Source organism: Homo sapiens, chromosome 4, assembly GCF_000001405.40.
Source record: "Homo sapiens chromosome 4, GRCh38.p14 Primary Assembly".
Taxonomy (NCBI): Eukaryota; Metazoa; Chordata; class Mammalia; order Primates; family Hominidae; genus Homo; species Homo sapiens.
Genome location: NC_000004.12, coordinates 176,489,706 through 176,507,899, shown reverse-complemented (window position 1 = coordinate 176,507,899; position 18,194 = coordinate 176,489,706). Strand labels below are relative to the sequence as shown.

The following is an 18,194-nucleotide window of genomic DNA, read 5'->3' as shown; positions in this document are numbered from 1 at the left end:
TCTGTTTGAGCTGTGCTTCACTCTTGCCCTCATCCTAACACCTGTGCAGCTCTATGTGTTAGAGCTCAACCTCAGCATTTCTGACATTTGAGCCAGACAATTTTTCGTTGTGGTGGTGGTTCATGCCTGTAATCCCAGCTAATCAGGAGGGAGGCTGAGGCAGGAGAATTGCTTGAACCCGGGAGGTGGAGGTTGCAGTGAGCCGAGATGGCGCCATTGCACTCCAGCTTGGGCAACAAGAGTGAAACCCCGTATCAAAAACAAAACAAAACAAAACAAAATGTTAACATATTTAAAGCACTAAGAATAGTTCCTACAATCACTACAAGAGGTTATCAGTTAGGTTATTGGCTTAAAATGATCATTCTTACTGCTGAGTATGGAATAGATTGGCAGAGGGGATGCAATGATAGAAACAGAAAAGATAGGAATCTGTTACAATAATGCGGAATCTTGGGCCACGACGTTAAAAAAGAGGTTTGGAGAAGGGGCCTGAGTATTCTGGATATAGTTTAAAGACAACATCAATACAATTACAGATTGCTTGGATGTGGGGTTTAAGAGAAAAATGAAAAGACAAGGATGACAACAAGTTCTTTAACCTAAATACTAGAAGAACAGAATCACCAATAACTAAGTTCGGAAAGACTAGGAAAGTAACTAGTTTGGGGTATTAAGGATGAATGTTTGAAATCCAGATAAAGATGTTGAATAACCATTTTGGTTTGTAAACCAGAGGTTGGAGGTCAGAAGAGAAAACTGAGCTGGACATAAAAATTTGGAAGTTATCAGCACACAAAAATTCTTTTAAACCATGAAACAAGGTGTAATGAGTGTGGATAGAAGAGGAGGGTGGGGAATGAGCCTAATAAATCAGCATTTATAAGTTAGCAAGATAAGGAGAAGCTGCAAAGGAGAGAGAGAGAGGAAGGGGTAAGGTAAGAGCTTTGAAAAAGTGGACCGCATGTTCTCACTCATAGGTGGGAATTGAACAGTGAGAACACTTGGACACAGGAAGGGGAACATCACACACCAGGGCCTGTCGTGGAGTTGGGGGAGCGGGGAGGGATAGCATTAGGAGATGTATCTAATGTAAATGATGAGTTAATGGGTGCAGCACACCAACATGGCACATGTATACATGTGTAACAAACCTGCGTGTTGTGCACAAGTACCCTAGAACTTAAAGTTAAAAAAAAAAAAAAAAAAAAGAAAGAAAAAGTGAAGTGCTTCTCTAGAGCTCAACAGAAGAAAGAGTCCCAAGGCCTGCAAGGACTTCAAATTCTAATGGTAGACTACATGTGTAAATGAGAACAACCTTACCTCTGAGAAAAACTCAAAGCTCCACAAAAGATAAAACAAAACAAAACAAACAAACAAACAAACAAAACTGTCTTCTTGGGCATCAAAAAGCTAAAATGAAAAGGATAATTGTTTAATCTGAATAGATACTTGGAATCTCATTGTATTCTTCTTTTTCATTCTGAATGTTGGAATCTTTTTTTTTAATTACTGAACCATAGTCTGGGAAGAGACAAGAACCCTAAATAATGAGCCCAGAAGCTGAGACTTCTTTTATCCTGGGAATATGTGCAGATTCTGGAGAAGGTGGCTGAGAAGTTAAAAAGCTGAATAGAATAGAATTATTGGAAATTTACATGCCTAGTAAGATACAAGCAGGAGTTCAGAGCTATACATATGGGAATCAGGCTGCAGAGAGAGTCTCCGTGTTTAGACTGGCATCCAATGAGCCACATTCTAAAAGTTAGTATGAACCCCCACCAGGAATTTTCTCAATTTCTAAGACAACTCTCAATTTATTGTTATATTTAAAAAATACCATATTTGGCACACAATAAAAAATAACCTAGTTCCTGAAAGTATAACATTTTATAAAGAGCAGAATTAAATGACAGTAGAAACAGACCCATGGTGGTTGTGGTACCGAATTTAAAGTAATTATGCTTCTTATGTTCCAGTAAACAAAAGATAGAAATGAGAGAATAGACAGATAATGGAAACATATAAAGAAGGGAAGGCAGAATGAAAAAGAAACCATAATAGCAATACTAAGAAACTAATAGATGAGTTAATAGCAGATTAGTAAGAGTTAGAATTAGTGAATCAAAGGATAGTTTAGAAGAAACTATCCAGGAGGAAACACAAAGACACAAAAGATTGAAAGTATGGAAGAGAAGGTAGCAGACATAGAGAATACAGTGAATAGGTCTAATGAATAGATATGGTAATTCCAGTGGGGAAGGAGAGAATAAAGCAGAAGAAATTTTGAAAATAAAATGTCTAAAAATTTCAAAACTGATGAAACACATAAAAGAGATTCAAGCAGGAAACACATATACAAGTTTTTTTATGTATGTATAGGAATATTACACAATTTTAAAATAGGATACAAATTATCCTATTTTTATTGTATTTATTAAAATATTAAAAGCAGCATGAGAAAAAAGTTGTCTTTTTTATTTTATCCTTTTGAAAAAGGATAAAATATTCAAGGCAGCATGAGAAAAAAAGGCAATTTACCTTCAAACGAGCAAAAGTTAAACCAAGAGCTGACTTCTCAAGAGACAAAATAAAAGCCAGAGAAAGAAGCAATGCTGAAATTAAATGACTGACAACCCATAACTTTTCAGTGAAGAAATCCTTCAAGAATAAGGATAAGTAAATACAGAGAATTTATCACCAGAGAAGGAAGTACACTAAAGTAATACTAAAATGAATTAATCAAGAGAAAAAGAAAATATAAGAAAGAATACAGAACAAGTCAAAGAATAATTATGTTGTAAATGACAATATTAATTGTATAAAACACTAATTGTAATATGTTGTAGAGTTTTATACGTGTATTATTAAAATACTCTTTTAAATGTGTACAATTTGGAAGCAGTAAATGAAATCAAAGACACGAAAAGTCCTACCTTGTGCACAAAAGGGGTAAAAATACAAGTGGAATTTCACTTTGATTAGTCAGGAATGTATCTTGTAGTCTCTAGGTGGCCCTGAGAAATAATTAAATATTATATAACTGAGATTTTTACCTAATGAAAAATTTTAAAACAAAACTATTCCCCCACTTCCCCAATCTTCCATTTCCTAGCCAATTCTCACTCAACATTTCCACTAATAAAAGTGTTTCCAAAAGAAAGTTGTGATCAACTGTTTCAGATTAGGCAACTGTGTGAGTAGATAAAGATCAATAAATGACCATTGGATCTGATAATTTAGAAGTCACTGACAGAAGCTGTTTTAATGGCATAGTGGGTGCTAAAATTTTAATCGGAGTGTATTCAAGAGAGAATGGAAGGAAAGACAAAGGATGCCACAGATGCAGACAACTTTTGAGGGGAAATTTCTCAGAAAAGGGGAACAACATGAAAATATAGCTAGAGTTGAATGCCAGATCAATGAAATTATTTCTTTATTTTTGCTGTGGAGGACACTGCAGTATGTTTTTGTATTGACGAAAATGCTTCTACAGAGAGAAAACTTAATTAGATGGAGAGGGTGGGAGGGGGAATTTCTGAGCAATGACTTTGATTATGAGCAGTGATGTAATGGAGTTCACAAGGAAAAGGCTCAGCCTTGGATAGGAAGAGACAACTCATCCATCAAAACTGGAGTGAAGACAGATGGCTGAAGAGACAAGCAAGTTAGCAGAAGTCGGTGGTACCATGGATGTTCTTTTCTGCCTGTTTTTATTTTTGTGGTCAAATAGAAAGGAAACAAGCAGAATTGTTAGCTAGCACTAAAGGTTCATCAATATAGAGTAAGGCAAGCCAACAATATCGCATGTTTTTCAACAGCCTGAATGCAGGTGTAGCAGAGAGGTGGCATTAAGCAGGTTTGGAATTATTTCTCACAGAAGGGAAAGGATGGAATGGCTATATTATATAATATAAGGTAGGCAAGAAGAGAAGTGAGAATATCAGAGTGGTGATGGATGATGAAAAGCTGGTAGAATCAATAGATTATTGATACTGATGACATCAAAGATCACTGGGGTGCAGGTACTTAAAGTAATTACCCAGAAACATATGAAGTGATGCAGGGATAGTAGGACCCTTAATAGGAAACTATAGCAAGAATGTAGCTAATCCTAACGCTAGAGGTGTAGTATGGGAATCAGTAGGTGGCAAATCAATCAATCAATCACTCGCAGAATTAATCAACTCATATTCATTTAACAGGTTTCAAATCATTGTAAAATTCAAACCTGATCATGCCATTATTGAAAATCCTTTAAACTCTACTTCTCCCAATCCCTGCACTAATGTTCAACATAAAATTCAACCACAAGAAAACAGCATGAACATCCTTTTATTATCTGCTTTGTTATTCTTTCTCCAGCATCAGAAATAACTTAATCACCCCCATACCCTTTGAGTATTAACTCTTAGCAAAGTGTATCTCAGAAGCTGCTTTCACTAAAACAAAAACCTGACAACCATACCCCGTTAAATTGGGGTTAGAAAGAAGATCTGAGTTTGAATATTTATATCTACCATTGCACTTATGTTGCAATTTCATTATTTAGTGGCTTCCCACAATGTGGAAACTCTTTGAAGATGTGTAATTATTAATCTGTAACCCCAGATCTCTTTGCAAAAAAAAAAAAAAGATTTACTATTTCTTTGTTTCTTCAAGAAAAATGGAGAAAATGAGAAATACAGACTCCACTATCGCTTTTGTATATATGTAATTGAATTATTACATGAATGATTACATAAATGAATTAATAAATGTGCCTTGTACCTGAGGCAGAAACCAAGCTAACAACTTAGTCTTGAGGCTCCAGTTAGAGACATAGATTATATGGTGAGGAGGTGTCTATGAAAGAAAAATAATCACAGTTGTAGGAAGAAAATAACTTATCAGTGAATCCTTTTTCTTAAGAACGTAGTAAATAACATGTTAGTAACCCAAGACCAGTGAATATAATTGAAAATTTATGGGTTAATTTCAAAAAAATTTTACACTTCAAGTTAAAGAAGAGCTAGAAGATGGTTTCAGGATGGAGATTCTGTACAAACGCCAGTCATCTCTGATAGCTGTGCCAACAACTGGATGATTTAACACTTCTGTTAATTTTTTCCTCAATCTTAAAATGGCTGTATTATCACCTCAGTTGTTTATATAAAAAAAGTCATTAATGCTTGACAAGTAGCTGGAAACAATGACGCTCAATTGTAGCTTTAGTTAAGTTCTGCTAAACAACTTTGGTTTCTATGTTCAGCTGTTTATTGGTATCTAGGTACTTATTTAATTAGCTACTTGTTTAATGAAGTCATTTATTACTGTCAAGATAGCCATAATCAAGAGTATAATACAAATAAAGTATTAAAAAGATTAAAATAGATTCATCAGCCAAATACAAGCTTCTATACAATAGAGACACATAATTGTTTCAGGTCTGGTACTGAGATTAGCCTGATTGACTTTCTGGCTTTGATTCAATAATCTATTATCTCATTTTGAAATGAAATAAGTCTGGTAACAAATAGTCATTGTATCATGTGTTATGCAGGCACAATCAAAGAAAGATATGTTCATTTACCTACCACATCACCTGGCAAAACAAAATACTGAAGCAAGATAGATTGTACTATTGTTTTTACTCATTAAGCTTCATTCTATACTAAGTGTCTGTGCATCCAGGTTTTAGGAAGTGCAGACTTTGTCTGAGAATGTTACTTAGATACAAGGTGATTTCCTTTACATTATGGCACACCCTAGAAAACCATGACGCTTTGGAAAATGCTTACCTATAAGTTGCAGGAGTAAAATTTACTCTTTTTTTTTTTTTTCAAAAATAAAGACAGATATACACTGAAAAGTTGCAGGAGTAAGATTTACTCTTTTTTTTTTTCAAAAAATAAAGATGGAAATACACTGAAATAAATTAAAATATTACAGTTTTTTTGTCTTTTACAAGACTCAAACTAATATAGCACACGAACAATCATGATGCCTGTATTTAAATAATGGATACTTTAGCAAATAATTTTAAAGTTAAAGCAAAGTTATTTCTATATCTCCGGCTTCCCATCACCTGCAAGATAAAGTCAGACCTCCTTCCTATGACATCGGTGCTTGTGTTTCTTTTCAACAACCCTTCTCAATATTTTTGCCCCTCTGGGCATGCAAAGCACTCCAAACCCTCCATCCCGTGTCAGGCATCTTCTACGACAGGACTGGCTTCTACTGCCCCCCACTCAGAATCTAAGTCAGTTTTTAAGAAGAAACTGCCTTTCCTAAGGAAGAAAAGCATATGAGTGGAAGCAGAAGTAATTAAGAAATAGAAGTACATGTGGAGAAATAATTCGCATACGCTTTAGTTGGAAACTAAATGGCAAAACTCAAAGGCGTTTAATTTGATTTTAGCAAATTTTATTTTATGTCATTTTCTTAATCAGAAAAATTTGATACCTGGATATATAGTGTTATAAAAATCAAATTATGTAGCATAACCTAAGGCTTGGTGAACTCAGAGCGACTATTTTTCACATATATAGAAAACTGTTGCCTTTTTATGTATTGCAAATGTAGGTAGACAATTAAGTGTTCACCCCATGTATAGTTAGATTAGTTTGCTAAATTTAGTGTAAAATAATGTCACTTATTTGGAGATGATTGGGTTTTCCTGGTGGTAATTTTCAGTAAACTGTTAGACCAAGGTATAAGTCTAACCAGATGATTGGATTGACAGTGTTGAATCTCAGGCTTTTATTTTCTGGTAATGGTCTTGGAAATGAAGAATATTCCACAAATTCTGTCAGGAAAATTTGTAGCAGATTGATACCTTTACATGGCATGTTTTTATAATCATAGTCTCACACAGCTGCTATAAAAGTGAGGCAGCTCACCGTTTTATGTCTTTCTAGCCCATTTAAGCCATTTTCAAAACTCAAGTAACTGAATTTCATTCAAAATATACAATGTGTTACCAGAAAATCTTATTTATTCAGATATATTGTTGTATGACAACTTAGTAGGTGAGGATAGGCAAGCCTATATTTTCCATAAAAACCATTGAACAAAATAGAAAAGTAATTGATTTTTATTTTTGACTTTTACATTTAAGATAATTTATTTCACAGTCATTTAAGTTTTCATTGATACTTACCAGCTGAGAAAGCTGCCCCAAAGTAAGTGCTGCAAAGTTTTGCTACAGAAGTACTTCAATTAAATCCAACTAGACTTTATGGAGCAACTGTTTTGTGCTGAGCCCAGCGCAGGATACTCTGGAACAATACTAGAAAAATCACAAGCCTGGCTCCCACCCTCAAAGATTTGTTATCTAATTGGAAAGGCAAAAACATATATATGTAGCTGGGCATGGTGGCTCACACCTATAATCTCAGCACTTTGGGAGGCCGAGGTGGGCGGATCACCCGAGATCAGGAGTTCAAGACCAGCCTGGCCAACCTGGTGGAACCCCGTCTCTACTAAAAATACAAAAATTAGCTGGGTGTGGTGGTGGGTGTCTGTAATCCCAGCTACTCGAGTGGCTGAGGCAGGAGAATCGCTTGAACCCGGACAGCAGAGGTTGCAGTGAGCCACGATAGCCCCAGTGCAGTCCAGCCTAGGCAAAAATGAAATAAATTAAAAAATATATGTATATGTATACATATATATATGTGTGTGTGTGTGTGTGTGTGTGTGTGTGTGATTATATTTTATATGTTTTATGTATTCGGCACCACGTATGCTGCTGTAACATAAATTCATGTAATGCTATGCTTCAATGGAGGGTAAATGGACAGGAATTAATTTAAACCTGGGGGAATTGTTAACCGAAGAAAAGAGAGTTATGATTATTAAAAATATAAACCATAAAATAAAGTGCTCTATTTTTCAAAATTATAAGAGATTAGTCAAAACCAAAATAAAACTAGTCAAGAAAATGGCATGGCAGCTCCAGAAATTAAGAACATGCCACCAAAATAAATTTGTATATGTCAGCACATGAGGGTAAAATTATGGGTGTAATAAAATCATGCATTACTGATCTTGAGATGGGTAAATCTGAAAAATATATACGATCTTAACTATTAGGAGAAAGAAAGTTTATTGTGGAAAACAAAACACGGAGGATTGCATCATTTTACTATGCTATGATTTGCACTCATAAAACATGCTGAAAAAATGTTGCTTCTCTTAAAAATCCCTTTGTTTCCACCCACTAAGTAAGAATGTCATATTTCAGTGACTTTATTTGATGAGTCAGAATGAGATGTCCTATAAATGATTGTTTTTAGAAAAAGAGGCAAAAGAACACCCAGAGATCCTAGTTGTTTGGAGAATTGAAAAGATGTTATAGAAGGGAAAGAAATATATGGCCAAATACAGACTTATTAAATCAGAAAATTCAGAGTTTTCAACTTAGACTCATGGGTATAATAATAATAATGTCTATTATTATTCTCATATATATGATTCTAATATTCTATTACATATTTACTATTTTTTCTATAATATACAATTTATAAGATTTATGTCAGGAAATAATTTTAATGAATAATGAATTAATACATTTAATCCTAAATATTATTATATTAACATTGTATATTAATCTAGTTAATCAGTAATATATTATTTTATCATTATGAATGTATACTATCTACACTGTAACTCTCTGAGATAAGTCTTACACTTACCCCATTTACAGTGAGGGAATGAAGCCTAGAAATGAGAAGCGAAGTGCCCAAGGTTACACAGCTGGTGAGTGGTGGAGCTGGGATTGGAATCCAGGCAATCTGGCTCCAGAAAATGTGCTTTTAACACGTGCAGTCTCTCTCTCTGCACAGCAAACAGTCTCTGATAAAATGATCATTCTCACCAGCTTGCATCATGAAGTCAATGATACTCATGCCCTTCCTCTTACCGGAACTGTGGGCCCAACCCCGTTTATCACCAATTGACATCTATTTATTTTTCATATCTCAGGTCAAGTTTCATGTCAGGCATTCCCCAAACCCTGGTCTAAGCCTCTTTCCTCTGTTATATTTTACATAGTCAATTATTTTTCCTCAGAACACAGATCAGCTCATAGTAAGTCATGTGATCATTTGAATAATGTCTGTCTTCAACTCCAGATTCCATGATCCACTTGTGTAGCTCCTACCAACATAACTGTTACATAGTAGGAATCCCAAAGTATTTGTTCAATAAATCAATGGAAGAATAAATAAATAATACATAGATTAAACAGAGTAACTGAGCATACTTAAGTCCACTCATTCTTTAAAGTTTTGTAACTTTTCCAGGATGCTCTCTGTGGTTTCCCCAGTTGGAATCGATCATGTGGTCTCTCCTGAGCCCTCATTGCCCTTGTACCTGTATTTCCATTGTTCTCAGAGTCTGCTTTCTAGGACCTTTAATTCATCCATGTCCACCTCCCTTACAATAATATAAACCTCTGGAAGTCATGAGTGATGTCTTACTTGCCTTTCCGTTTTCCACAATGTCTACCTGGTATATTGAACACCAAAAATACTGAGATTTTTACTGAACTGAATTAGATAAGACTGAATTAGCATTACATGGTACCCTTCCTGTTTAATCTATCCCTTTTGGAGCCCAGACTTGGAAAGAGCTATGCTGGAGTGCCTAGAAAGAACTTTGTGCTTTGTTATAGCCAATTCAAAACAATGAAGTTCTGAATGTGCTTTGCCTGCACATGCTGTTCTACCATGTCAAATGTCCCATTTAACAGGGAAAATCTCTAAGGAAAAAGTGTTCAGATATGCAGACTAAATGCACTGTCTTATGTCTCTAAAATACAAACCACATGCTTTTTATGTTCTAACAGACTCTGGACTCCATCAGCAACTTTCAATACAGTGAACTTACAGTACCCTCAGTTTTGGAATTTAAAATTCATTGTTGCTCATATGCATGTCTTGATCCATACTAGGATTTCTGCTTTCCCAGGAGCGATGAAGGGGTTTCATGATTAATCTACACCTTCTCACCTCATCCCTTTGTGGGTAAAAGCATCTGGGAGATAACCATTTAGTTGTGCCTGTAGCCTGTGGCCATGGAACAAAAGTACCATCTACTGTTCCGCTTGCAGGCAGAGGCCAAACCCACCCCCTGGGTCTCATTAGCACCCATGTCCTTAACAACTGGACCAACCCATCCACACTTAGTTTATTCTGCTATCCACACAAAATACCACGTTAGAACATAAGCTCCTTGAAATCCCAAAAGGAGGCTGGAAATGATTGGCAGACCCTAATTGAAAACTACAATTTGAAATTATGGAATTAAGATAGCAAATGGTATGCCACATGCTGTTAAAAGTAGTGTTTTCAAAAGATAACTTCTTTTTCATTTTAATATCTAATTGCATAACATCAAAAATGAAAGTGGCTTGGTCATTGAATGCCTACTATCCAAGGAGCCAAGGACCACAGCCTGCACTAAGTCCCTTGTTGTTTCAGAGCCTTTTGGATGGAATCCACTGGTGGATTCGTCCTCAAGTGCTATGACAGAGAGAATTTCATCCCATTCATTTCATTGCGATCTGTGATCCCATATTCTTTTTTTTTTTTTAGATTTTTATTTATTTTTCTTCTCTATTACATTTTTTTTTATTATTATACTTTAAGTTCTGGGAAACATGTGCAGAATGTGCAGGCATAGGTATACACATGCCATGGTGGTTTGCTGCACCCATCAACCTATCATCTACATTAAGTATTTCTCCTAATGCTATCCCTCCCCTAGCCCCGATCCCCTTACAGGCCCTGGTGTGTGATGTTCACCTCTCTGTGTCCATGTGTTCTCATTGTTCAACTCTCACTTATGAGTGACAACATGCAGTGTTTGGTTTTCTGTTCTTATGTTAGTTTGCTGAGAATGGTGGTTTCCAGTTTTATCCATGTCCCTGCAAAGGAAATAAACTCATCCTTTTTCAAGGCTACATAGTATTCCATGGTATATATGTGCCACATTTTCTTTATCCAGTCTGTCATTGATGTGCATTTGGGTTGGTTCCAAGTCTTTGCTATTGTGAACAGTGCTGCAATAAACGTATGTGTGCATATATGTCTTTACAGTAGAATGATTTCTAATCCTTTGGGTATATACCCAGAAATTAGATTGCTGGGTCAAATGGTATTTCTGCTTCTAGATCCTTGAGGAATCACCACACTGTCTTCCACAATGGTTAAATTAATTTATACTCCTACCAGCAGCACAAAAGTATTCCTATTTCTCCACATCCTCTCCAGCATCTGTTGTTTCTTGTCTTTTTAATGATTGCCCTTCTAACTGGAGTGAAATGGTATCTCATTGTGGTTTTGATTTGCATTTCTCTAATGACCAGTGATGATGACCGTTTTTTCATGTTTGTTGGCTGCATAAATGTCTTCTTTTGAGAAGTGTCTGTTCATATCCTTTGCCCACTTTTTGATGGGGTTGTTTGTTTTTTTCTTGTAAATTTGTTTCAGTTCCTTGTAGATTCTGGATATTAGCCCTTTGTCAGATGAGTAGATTGCAAAAATTTTCTCCCATTCTGTAGGTTGCCTGTTCACTCTAATGATAGTTTCTTTTGCTGTGCAGAAGCTCTTTAGTTTAATTAGATCCCATTTGTCAATTTTGGCTTTTGTTGCCATTGCTTTTGGTGTTTTAGACATGAAGTCCTTGCCCATGCCTATGTCCTGAATGGTAATGCCTAGGTTTTCTTCTAGGGTTTTTATGGTTTTAGGTCTAACGTTTAAGTCTTTAATCCATCTTGAGTTAATGTTTGTGTAAGGGGTAAGGAAGGGGTCCAGTTTCCGCTTTCTGCATATGGCTAGCCAGTTTTCCCAACATCATGTATTAAATAGATCCTTTCCTCATGGCTTGTTTTTGTCAGGTTTGTCAAAGATCAGATGGTTGTAGATGTGTGGCATTATTTCTGAGGCCTCTCTTCTGTTCCATTGGTCTATATATCTGTTTTGATACTAGTACCATGCTGTTTTGGTTACTGTAGCCTTCTAGTATAGTTTGAAGTTAGGTAGCGTAACGCCTCCAGCTTTGTTCTTTTTGCTTAGGATTATCTTGGCTATATGGGCTCTTTTTTGGTTCCATATGAAATTTAAAGTAGTCTTTTTCTAATTCTGTGAAGAAAGTCAATGGTAGCTTGGTGGGGAGAGCATTGAATCTATAAATTACTTTGGGCAGTATGGCCATTTTCACAATATTGATTCTTCCTATCCATGAGCGTGAGTGTTTTCCCATTTTTTTGTGTCCTCTCTTATTTCCTTGAGCAGTTGTTTGTAGTTCTCTTTGAAAAGGTCCTTCACATCCCTTGTAAGTTGTCTTCCTAGGTATATTATTCTCTTTGTAGTGATATGTGTATTGCCTCAACGGTGGTGATGGCATCATGAGTTTGGCACATGTTCAAACTCATTAGATGTATGCACTAAATATGTCTAGTTCTGTGTATTTCAATTATACTTCAATAAAGCAACTAAAATTAAAAATAAATTAAAATTATTAATGGCATCAGTTTTCTTGAACAAGGTTTATCTTTAGGCTTAAAAGTTTTTAGATTTCAGTGTTACTAGGATTCAGATAAACTGGATACAATTTTCTGATACTGCTTGTAGGAGCAAAAAATGTGTGGCAAATACATCTTCTTTTAAAATTTAAAAGTGCTCATAGTATTTGAATAATTTTACTTTCCATTAGCTATATTTATATTAGTTGCAATGTAGCATTGCCTTTAGTGAGTCCTGGTTGGCAAACAAAAGATATTCAAGTTACATTTTTAAATTCTCACCAACGATGTACAAGGGTCTCAATCTCTAGCAGATACCCAGTGGGAGAACAGGGCTTAGAACTCAGATTTTTCTCATTCCTGGACTCCCTATTAAAACTGTGCTACTTTTTGTAACATGTTTACATAAGTAACTGCCTAGTAAATAAAAATCAAGTGAACTTCTGAGCATTTACTAATAATATAGAAAGATATATTGTTTTCAGCCGGCTTTATAGTTGAGCAAAAACAAAATTCCACGAGGCACTAAACCTATCACCTTATTCCTGTGGGCAGCATTCCTAACTCTCTTTGCAAAAGGAAACACCAGACAGGCCTCCATTTTTCCCCTCTTTTCTTTTCCTTATGGAAGTTGTAAAACAATAAAGATAGAGCAAAGAGTTTTGATAAAAGAAAAACTTCAGCTGAATTAAATTTAAAGGCGTCTAATTGAGCAATGAACTATTTGTAGATGGGTCAGCCCCCAGAATCACAGCAGATTCAGAGAGACTCCAGTGCAGCGACATGGTGGAAGAAGATTTATGGACAGCAAAAGGAAAATGAGGTACAGAAACAGCTGGATTGGTTACAGCTCAGCATTTGCCTTATTTGAACGTGTTTCTAAGGGTTGGCTACATTTGATTGGCCAAAACTCAGTGACTGGCACAGGTGTAGGCTACAGTGGGTTACATCTCCACTTGTTATAGTTCACCATGTACAGAATAAACTTTAGGTCGAACTTAAACACGTAAGGAGGCAGCTTTAGGCTAAACTTGATTTAACAAATTTGTAGGACAATTTGGTAATTTAGGAAATCCTCCTTAAGGATTATGTTCTGCTTTCTGGTTCTCCTCTCTTCTTTCTTCAATGGTTCTAAGGCACACCTAACTTTTCCTCTTTTTTTGGTAATACTCATGAAATAAGCAAACAAAAAAACAAAGAAAAAAGATGTAAAGGAGGAGAGGGAAATAGAATATAATACACAAATATTTCTGTGCTCATTTTCTTTTTTAATCAAGTGTAAGCACAAGAGGTAGTCTGTGTTTTCACCATATTAGCACAACTTGTTCAAAGTGAAAATTTCAGTCACATAATTCACATAACACACACAAGTGGTCTGGTTGGTTTTTGTTTTGTGCTTTTTGTTTCTTTGTTTCTTTGTTTGTTTTGAGACAAAGTTTTACTCTGTCACCCAGGCTAGAGTGCAGTGGCGCGATCTCAGCTCATTGCAATCTCCATCTCCCAGGCTCAAGCAATTGCTCGTCCTCCCCAGTAGCTGAGACTACAGGTGTGCACCACCATGCCTGGCTAGTTTTGGTATTTTTTGTAGAGATGGTGTTTTGCCATGTTATTTTTAATCTAACTAACCAGTGGATTTTCCTGTGTTCCCCATGTATTTTTCTACAGGGATACATAATAAGCTGTCACTATTAATAATTTACAATGTTGAATTACTTTTTTCATTATGTTACTTTTCCTGGAGTTCACTTTATCTTTACTTGGCTACATATTTTTTTCTCTCTTTCTGTTTTAAATTCCTCACCACAAATATAACCCTACTTATAACAATAGGTAGAGTTTATTCTATTTGACAAATTTCACCATGGTCGAATCAGGCAAAACTATTTTTGTTTATTTATAAATATGTCAATAATTGATGTTGGTCTGATTCATTTTGAAAAAAAATCATATTACTATAAAAAATTGTTATGTGTTATCACTTTGGCATAAAACTCACCCAATTGGGAAATTGCTTATGATGTCATAGATTCTTTAATCTATTAATTCAGCAAGAACAATTCCTACTTGTTACGCATCCAACATTTGAACATACTTCTTTTTGAGTCTTGAGAAAGATAAAAGTAATCAAACTTCTTTGAGTTTAAAAAAAAAGGAAAGCCATGTCAGTACATTTAGATAGTGAAAGCAATTAGTCACAAATTGTCACTCTGCAGTGGAGCAGGAAGGTGAAACTGAAAACAGCCTTTATAAACACTCTATGGACACATTGCTGAGAACTTTTCAAGCTTTGCTGGTCACGTTGCTATTTAAAGTAAATCTGCCCTTAACATTGACTCAAACATCTAAAAAAAAAGGGGGGGGGGACAATTCTTCATAACATTAAATCATCCTGATTTTTAAAACAAAAGTTGCCATTGTAATTTCTCCTTAAGCAACGGAGTAGAGATAACACTGAAAATCTTTTCCAAAGAAATGAGATTTCCTCTTATTGTGAGGATGAAACACTCCCTCTTAGTCACAGTGAGTGGAGGAAAAAAATCAGTCATTTGATTGTTTCTTGGTTTTAGGTGTGCCTTCTAAATTGGATGACATTCACAGACACTCAGGATGCAAGACAAGGACTTTCCCTAAACAGTTCATAAATACTAAGCTAATGTAGATCTCAGAACTCACATTGGGTCCTAGTGAGTTAAAAGATTTATGGACATAAACTACACCCACAGTCAGAATCAATGCTTCCAGTTCATTACAAATTCACTCCCAAAATGAAACATAGTTCTGGATACATGTGTTGGGAGAATCAACCCGCATACCTGAGTGTTCTCCAAATTACTTTCTGTTACTTTCCGCAGAGAATACAATTCCTTATTAAAGAAGACATTTAGAAACTGCTAAGACACCTCCCTATTTTATTACAACTCAACAGTAACTGTATCAATTTTTCAGAACTTAGAGCATAATTTTTTGCACAAGATGACTTTTATCACAGATATTATCTAACACTGCTTGTGTTTGGTGATAATAAAAAGTAGACTCAAAAAAAAAGATTTATGGTAAGGAGTAATAAGATTTAAAGTGGCTCCTGATTGTTCATAAGAGAAATGAGCTAATACAACTAGTCCCAAATGACCAACCTGAATTTTAGTATTCTAAGGAAGTAAGCTAAGTGACAGTATCAGTAAACTAGCATTTTAGTTTTAAAATAAGGTACTAGGTATCTTTGAAGTAGAAAGGGAATTTCTTTCACAATACAAATAAGTGCTCTAATGGCAGTGGAGAAATATCTCAATTTTAAAGAATAAATGATACAAGTATCATTTCCTAAGCACAAAACTCTAGGTTTACTTTCTGAAGAATCACAGAATATGCTTTAGAAGTGTTTAATCTTAGATATCTGTTCATCTGATGAAGAGTTGAGATGAAATGGCAAGATATGATTCTGTTTCAAACTTTAAAAAACTGGAACACCTGAGAAAGTTCAAGTATATATTTTGTTTTTCTAAAATAACAATTTTTTTCCTAACTCACAACATTGAGCAGTATAGACTCGTTAAAAATAGGGACCATTGATTAACAGCAGCTTAGTGATCAATTTTAAGTGGTAATATTTATTTTACCCATTAGATGATTTGAAATAATCATATTCTCCAGTTTTTGAAAGGCAGCCTGGAGTCATTGAGAGAACATCAATTTATGTGGCAGAAGCCCTGAATCCTGGATGTGGCTCTCCTGCTTATTAGCTGTGTAACCTTGGGCAAGTCAGTAACAACTCGGTGTCAATCTATTGAGCTACCCAATGAGTCTAACTACACATGCCTGACTTGTTCTGAGGAGCAAATGGCATACATGTGGAGAAATTTTTGAGCTAGTCCAACTTCACAGGCTTATCCAGGTTCAAAGACTGCTAGAAATAATAACTTGGATTTGTCTAAAGTTACTTTCCTTTTGATTTACCATGAAGCCGCAAACCAAAAGACCTAGATGACAAGGATGAGATCAAGAATGCACAGTGGTGTGATTGGATGAGGCAGGATCTTAACAGCCTTCCTGGAATGAGGGATCCACCATATCAGAGAATCACAGAGCTGTGGACCAGAACCAGAGGATGGCAGAGGTAACCAGGGATATATATATCAACATTCAAGGCTCTATCTCAAAACCATTAAGAATTTTTACTGTTCCTCACTAATATATTAATGCATCATGTCTTATTTCTCCCTGTATAATTAGGGCCATTCAGTGTTTCAGTGATGACTGCTGCAACATTGAAAATTATAACGCGATCGCACAATATTTACCAATAAGTGGCAAATAAGAGCTACTAAGTGATTCTCAATGGAATTAATTCTATCATTTTCAAGAAATTCTGTATACTTGTTTTTCAATCTATGGGGTTTTCTAACAATTAGCACTTTTTCCAACACTGCTAGAGGTTGCCCTATAATATATTCATTATATTTTTCTTACTTCTTAATATAATGAAGGAAGTCACATGAAGGAATTCAATGATCTATCTATCCATCCATCCATCTATTCATTCAGGAAATAGAGTACCTACATATATTAGATACTCTATATTATATATTATCGCCTCTGCCTGTGTTACAGAAAAAACATTTGTGCCTAAACTCCTTTGAAGAAATGTTAACGTGAAAGGGAAGTTTCTTCCACAATGTTAGGGATAAAAAATAAATCAGAAACCGACTAAGAAGAAGTAAGTGTCCCAGCCATGCTTGAGCCTTGGTTACACAAAAATAGGGATATAAATTGTGCGTTAGATTTCTTCTTTACCTTAAATATCTGAATGTGGGAATAACCAATTCTTGAGACAGTTGGAATATTTTCTTTTTTCAACACAGGACTTTTTATATGAAATATTTAAATTATATAAGGCATATAACAGTTTTTTAGTCTATCTTGATGGTTTTATTCTTATTGTTTTCTCTGTATGAAATTAATTTTTCCTACATATTTATTGGTCATACATACTTTAAATCCTAATTCCATGTCCATCTGGGAAAGCAACCCAGACAGTGCCAGTACCTACCCTAATGCTTTGTACATAGGCTGTGTATTATATACATCCCATCCCCAACACCCCATGACAATTCAACTTAAATATAAAGTCCTTGAAGGCAGGGAGGGAAATATACTATATTTCTTTGGTATCTCCATAGCAGACCCACCCCTTTTTTACAGGTGCAGGACTTACCCTTTACATGTATTCTCTGTTAATTGTTCTTCCTGAATTGTGCCATATATAGTCTGAACAGCCATACATGGCAGCCTGAGCACATGTTAGGGAAATTGTTCTTAATGAAAAGAAAGATCTTATCAAGAAAATGATACCTTCTGTGATCTGCCTTTATTTTGCATATCATCTTCTTATTGAAAGATACTTCATATAACAGAAAATTCACCCTTTTAAATAAGTAATTTAGTGTTTTATTGTATTCATAAAGTTGTACAATAATGACTGCTATTAATATATTGTTCTAGAGTATTTTTAGCCCCTAATAAGGAAGCCGCATACCCATTAGTAGTCACTCCCTGTGATAGGCAGAATAACAGCCTCCCAGAGACACCCATGTCCTGATCCCTGGAACTTGTGAATATGTGGCTTTACATGGAATTAAAGAATTAAAATAACAGATGTAATTAAGATTACTAGTCAGTGACCTTAAAG

The 18,194-nt window shown here is 35.3% G+C and overlaps 1 long non-coding RNA gene across 1 annotated transcript in view; it reads right to left on the bottom strand.

Annotated features, from left to right (window-relative positions):
* Positions 1-18,194, bottom strand: part of LOC124900817 (uncharacterized) — a 140,808-nt gene that overhangs the window by 13,815 nt on the left and 108,799 nt on the right. The gene's annotated exons all lie outside the window — the stretch shown is intronic.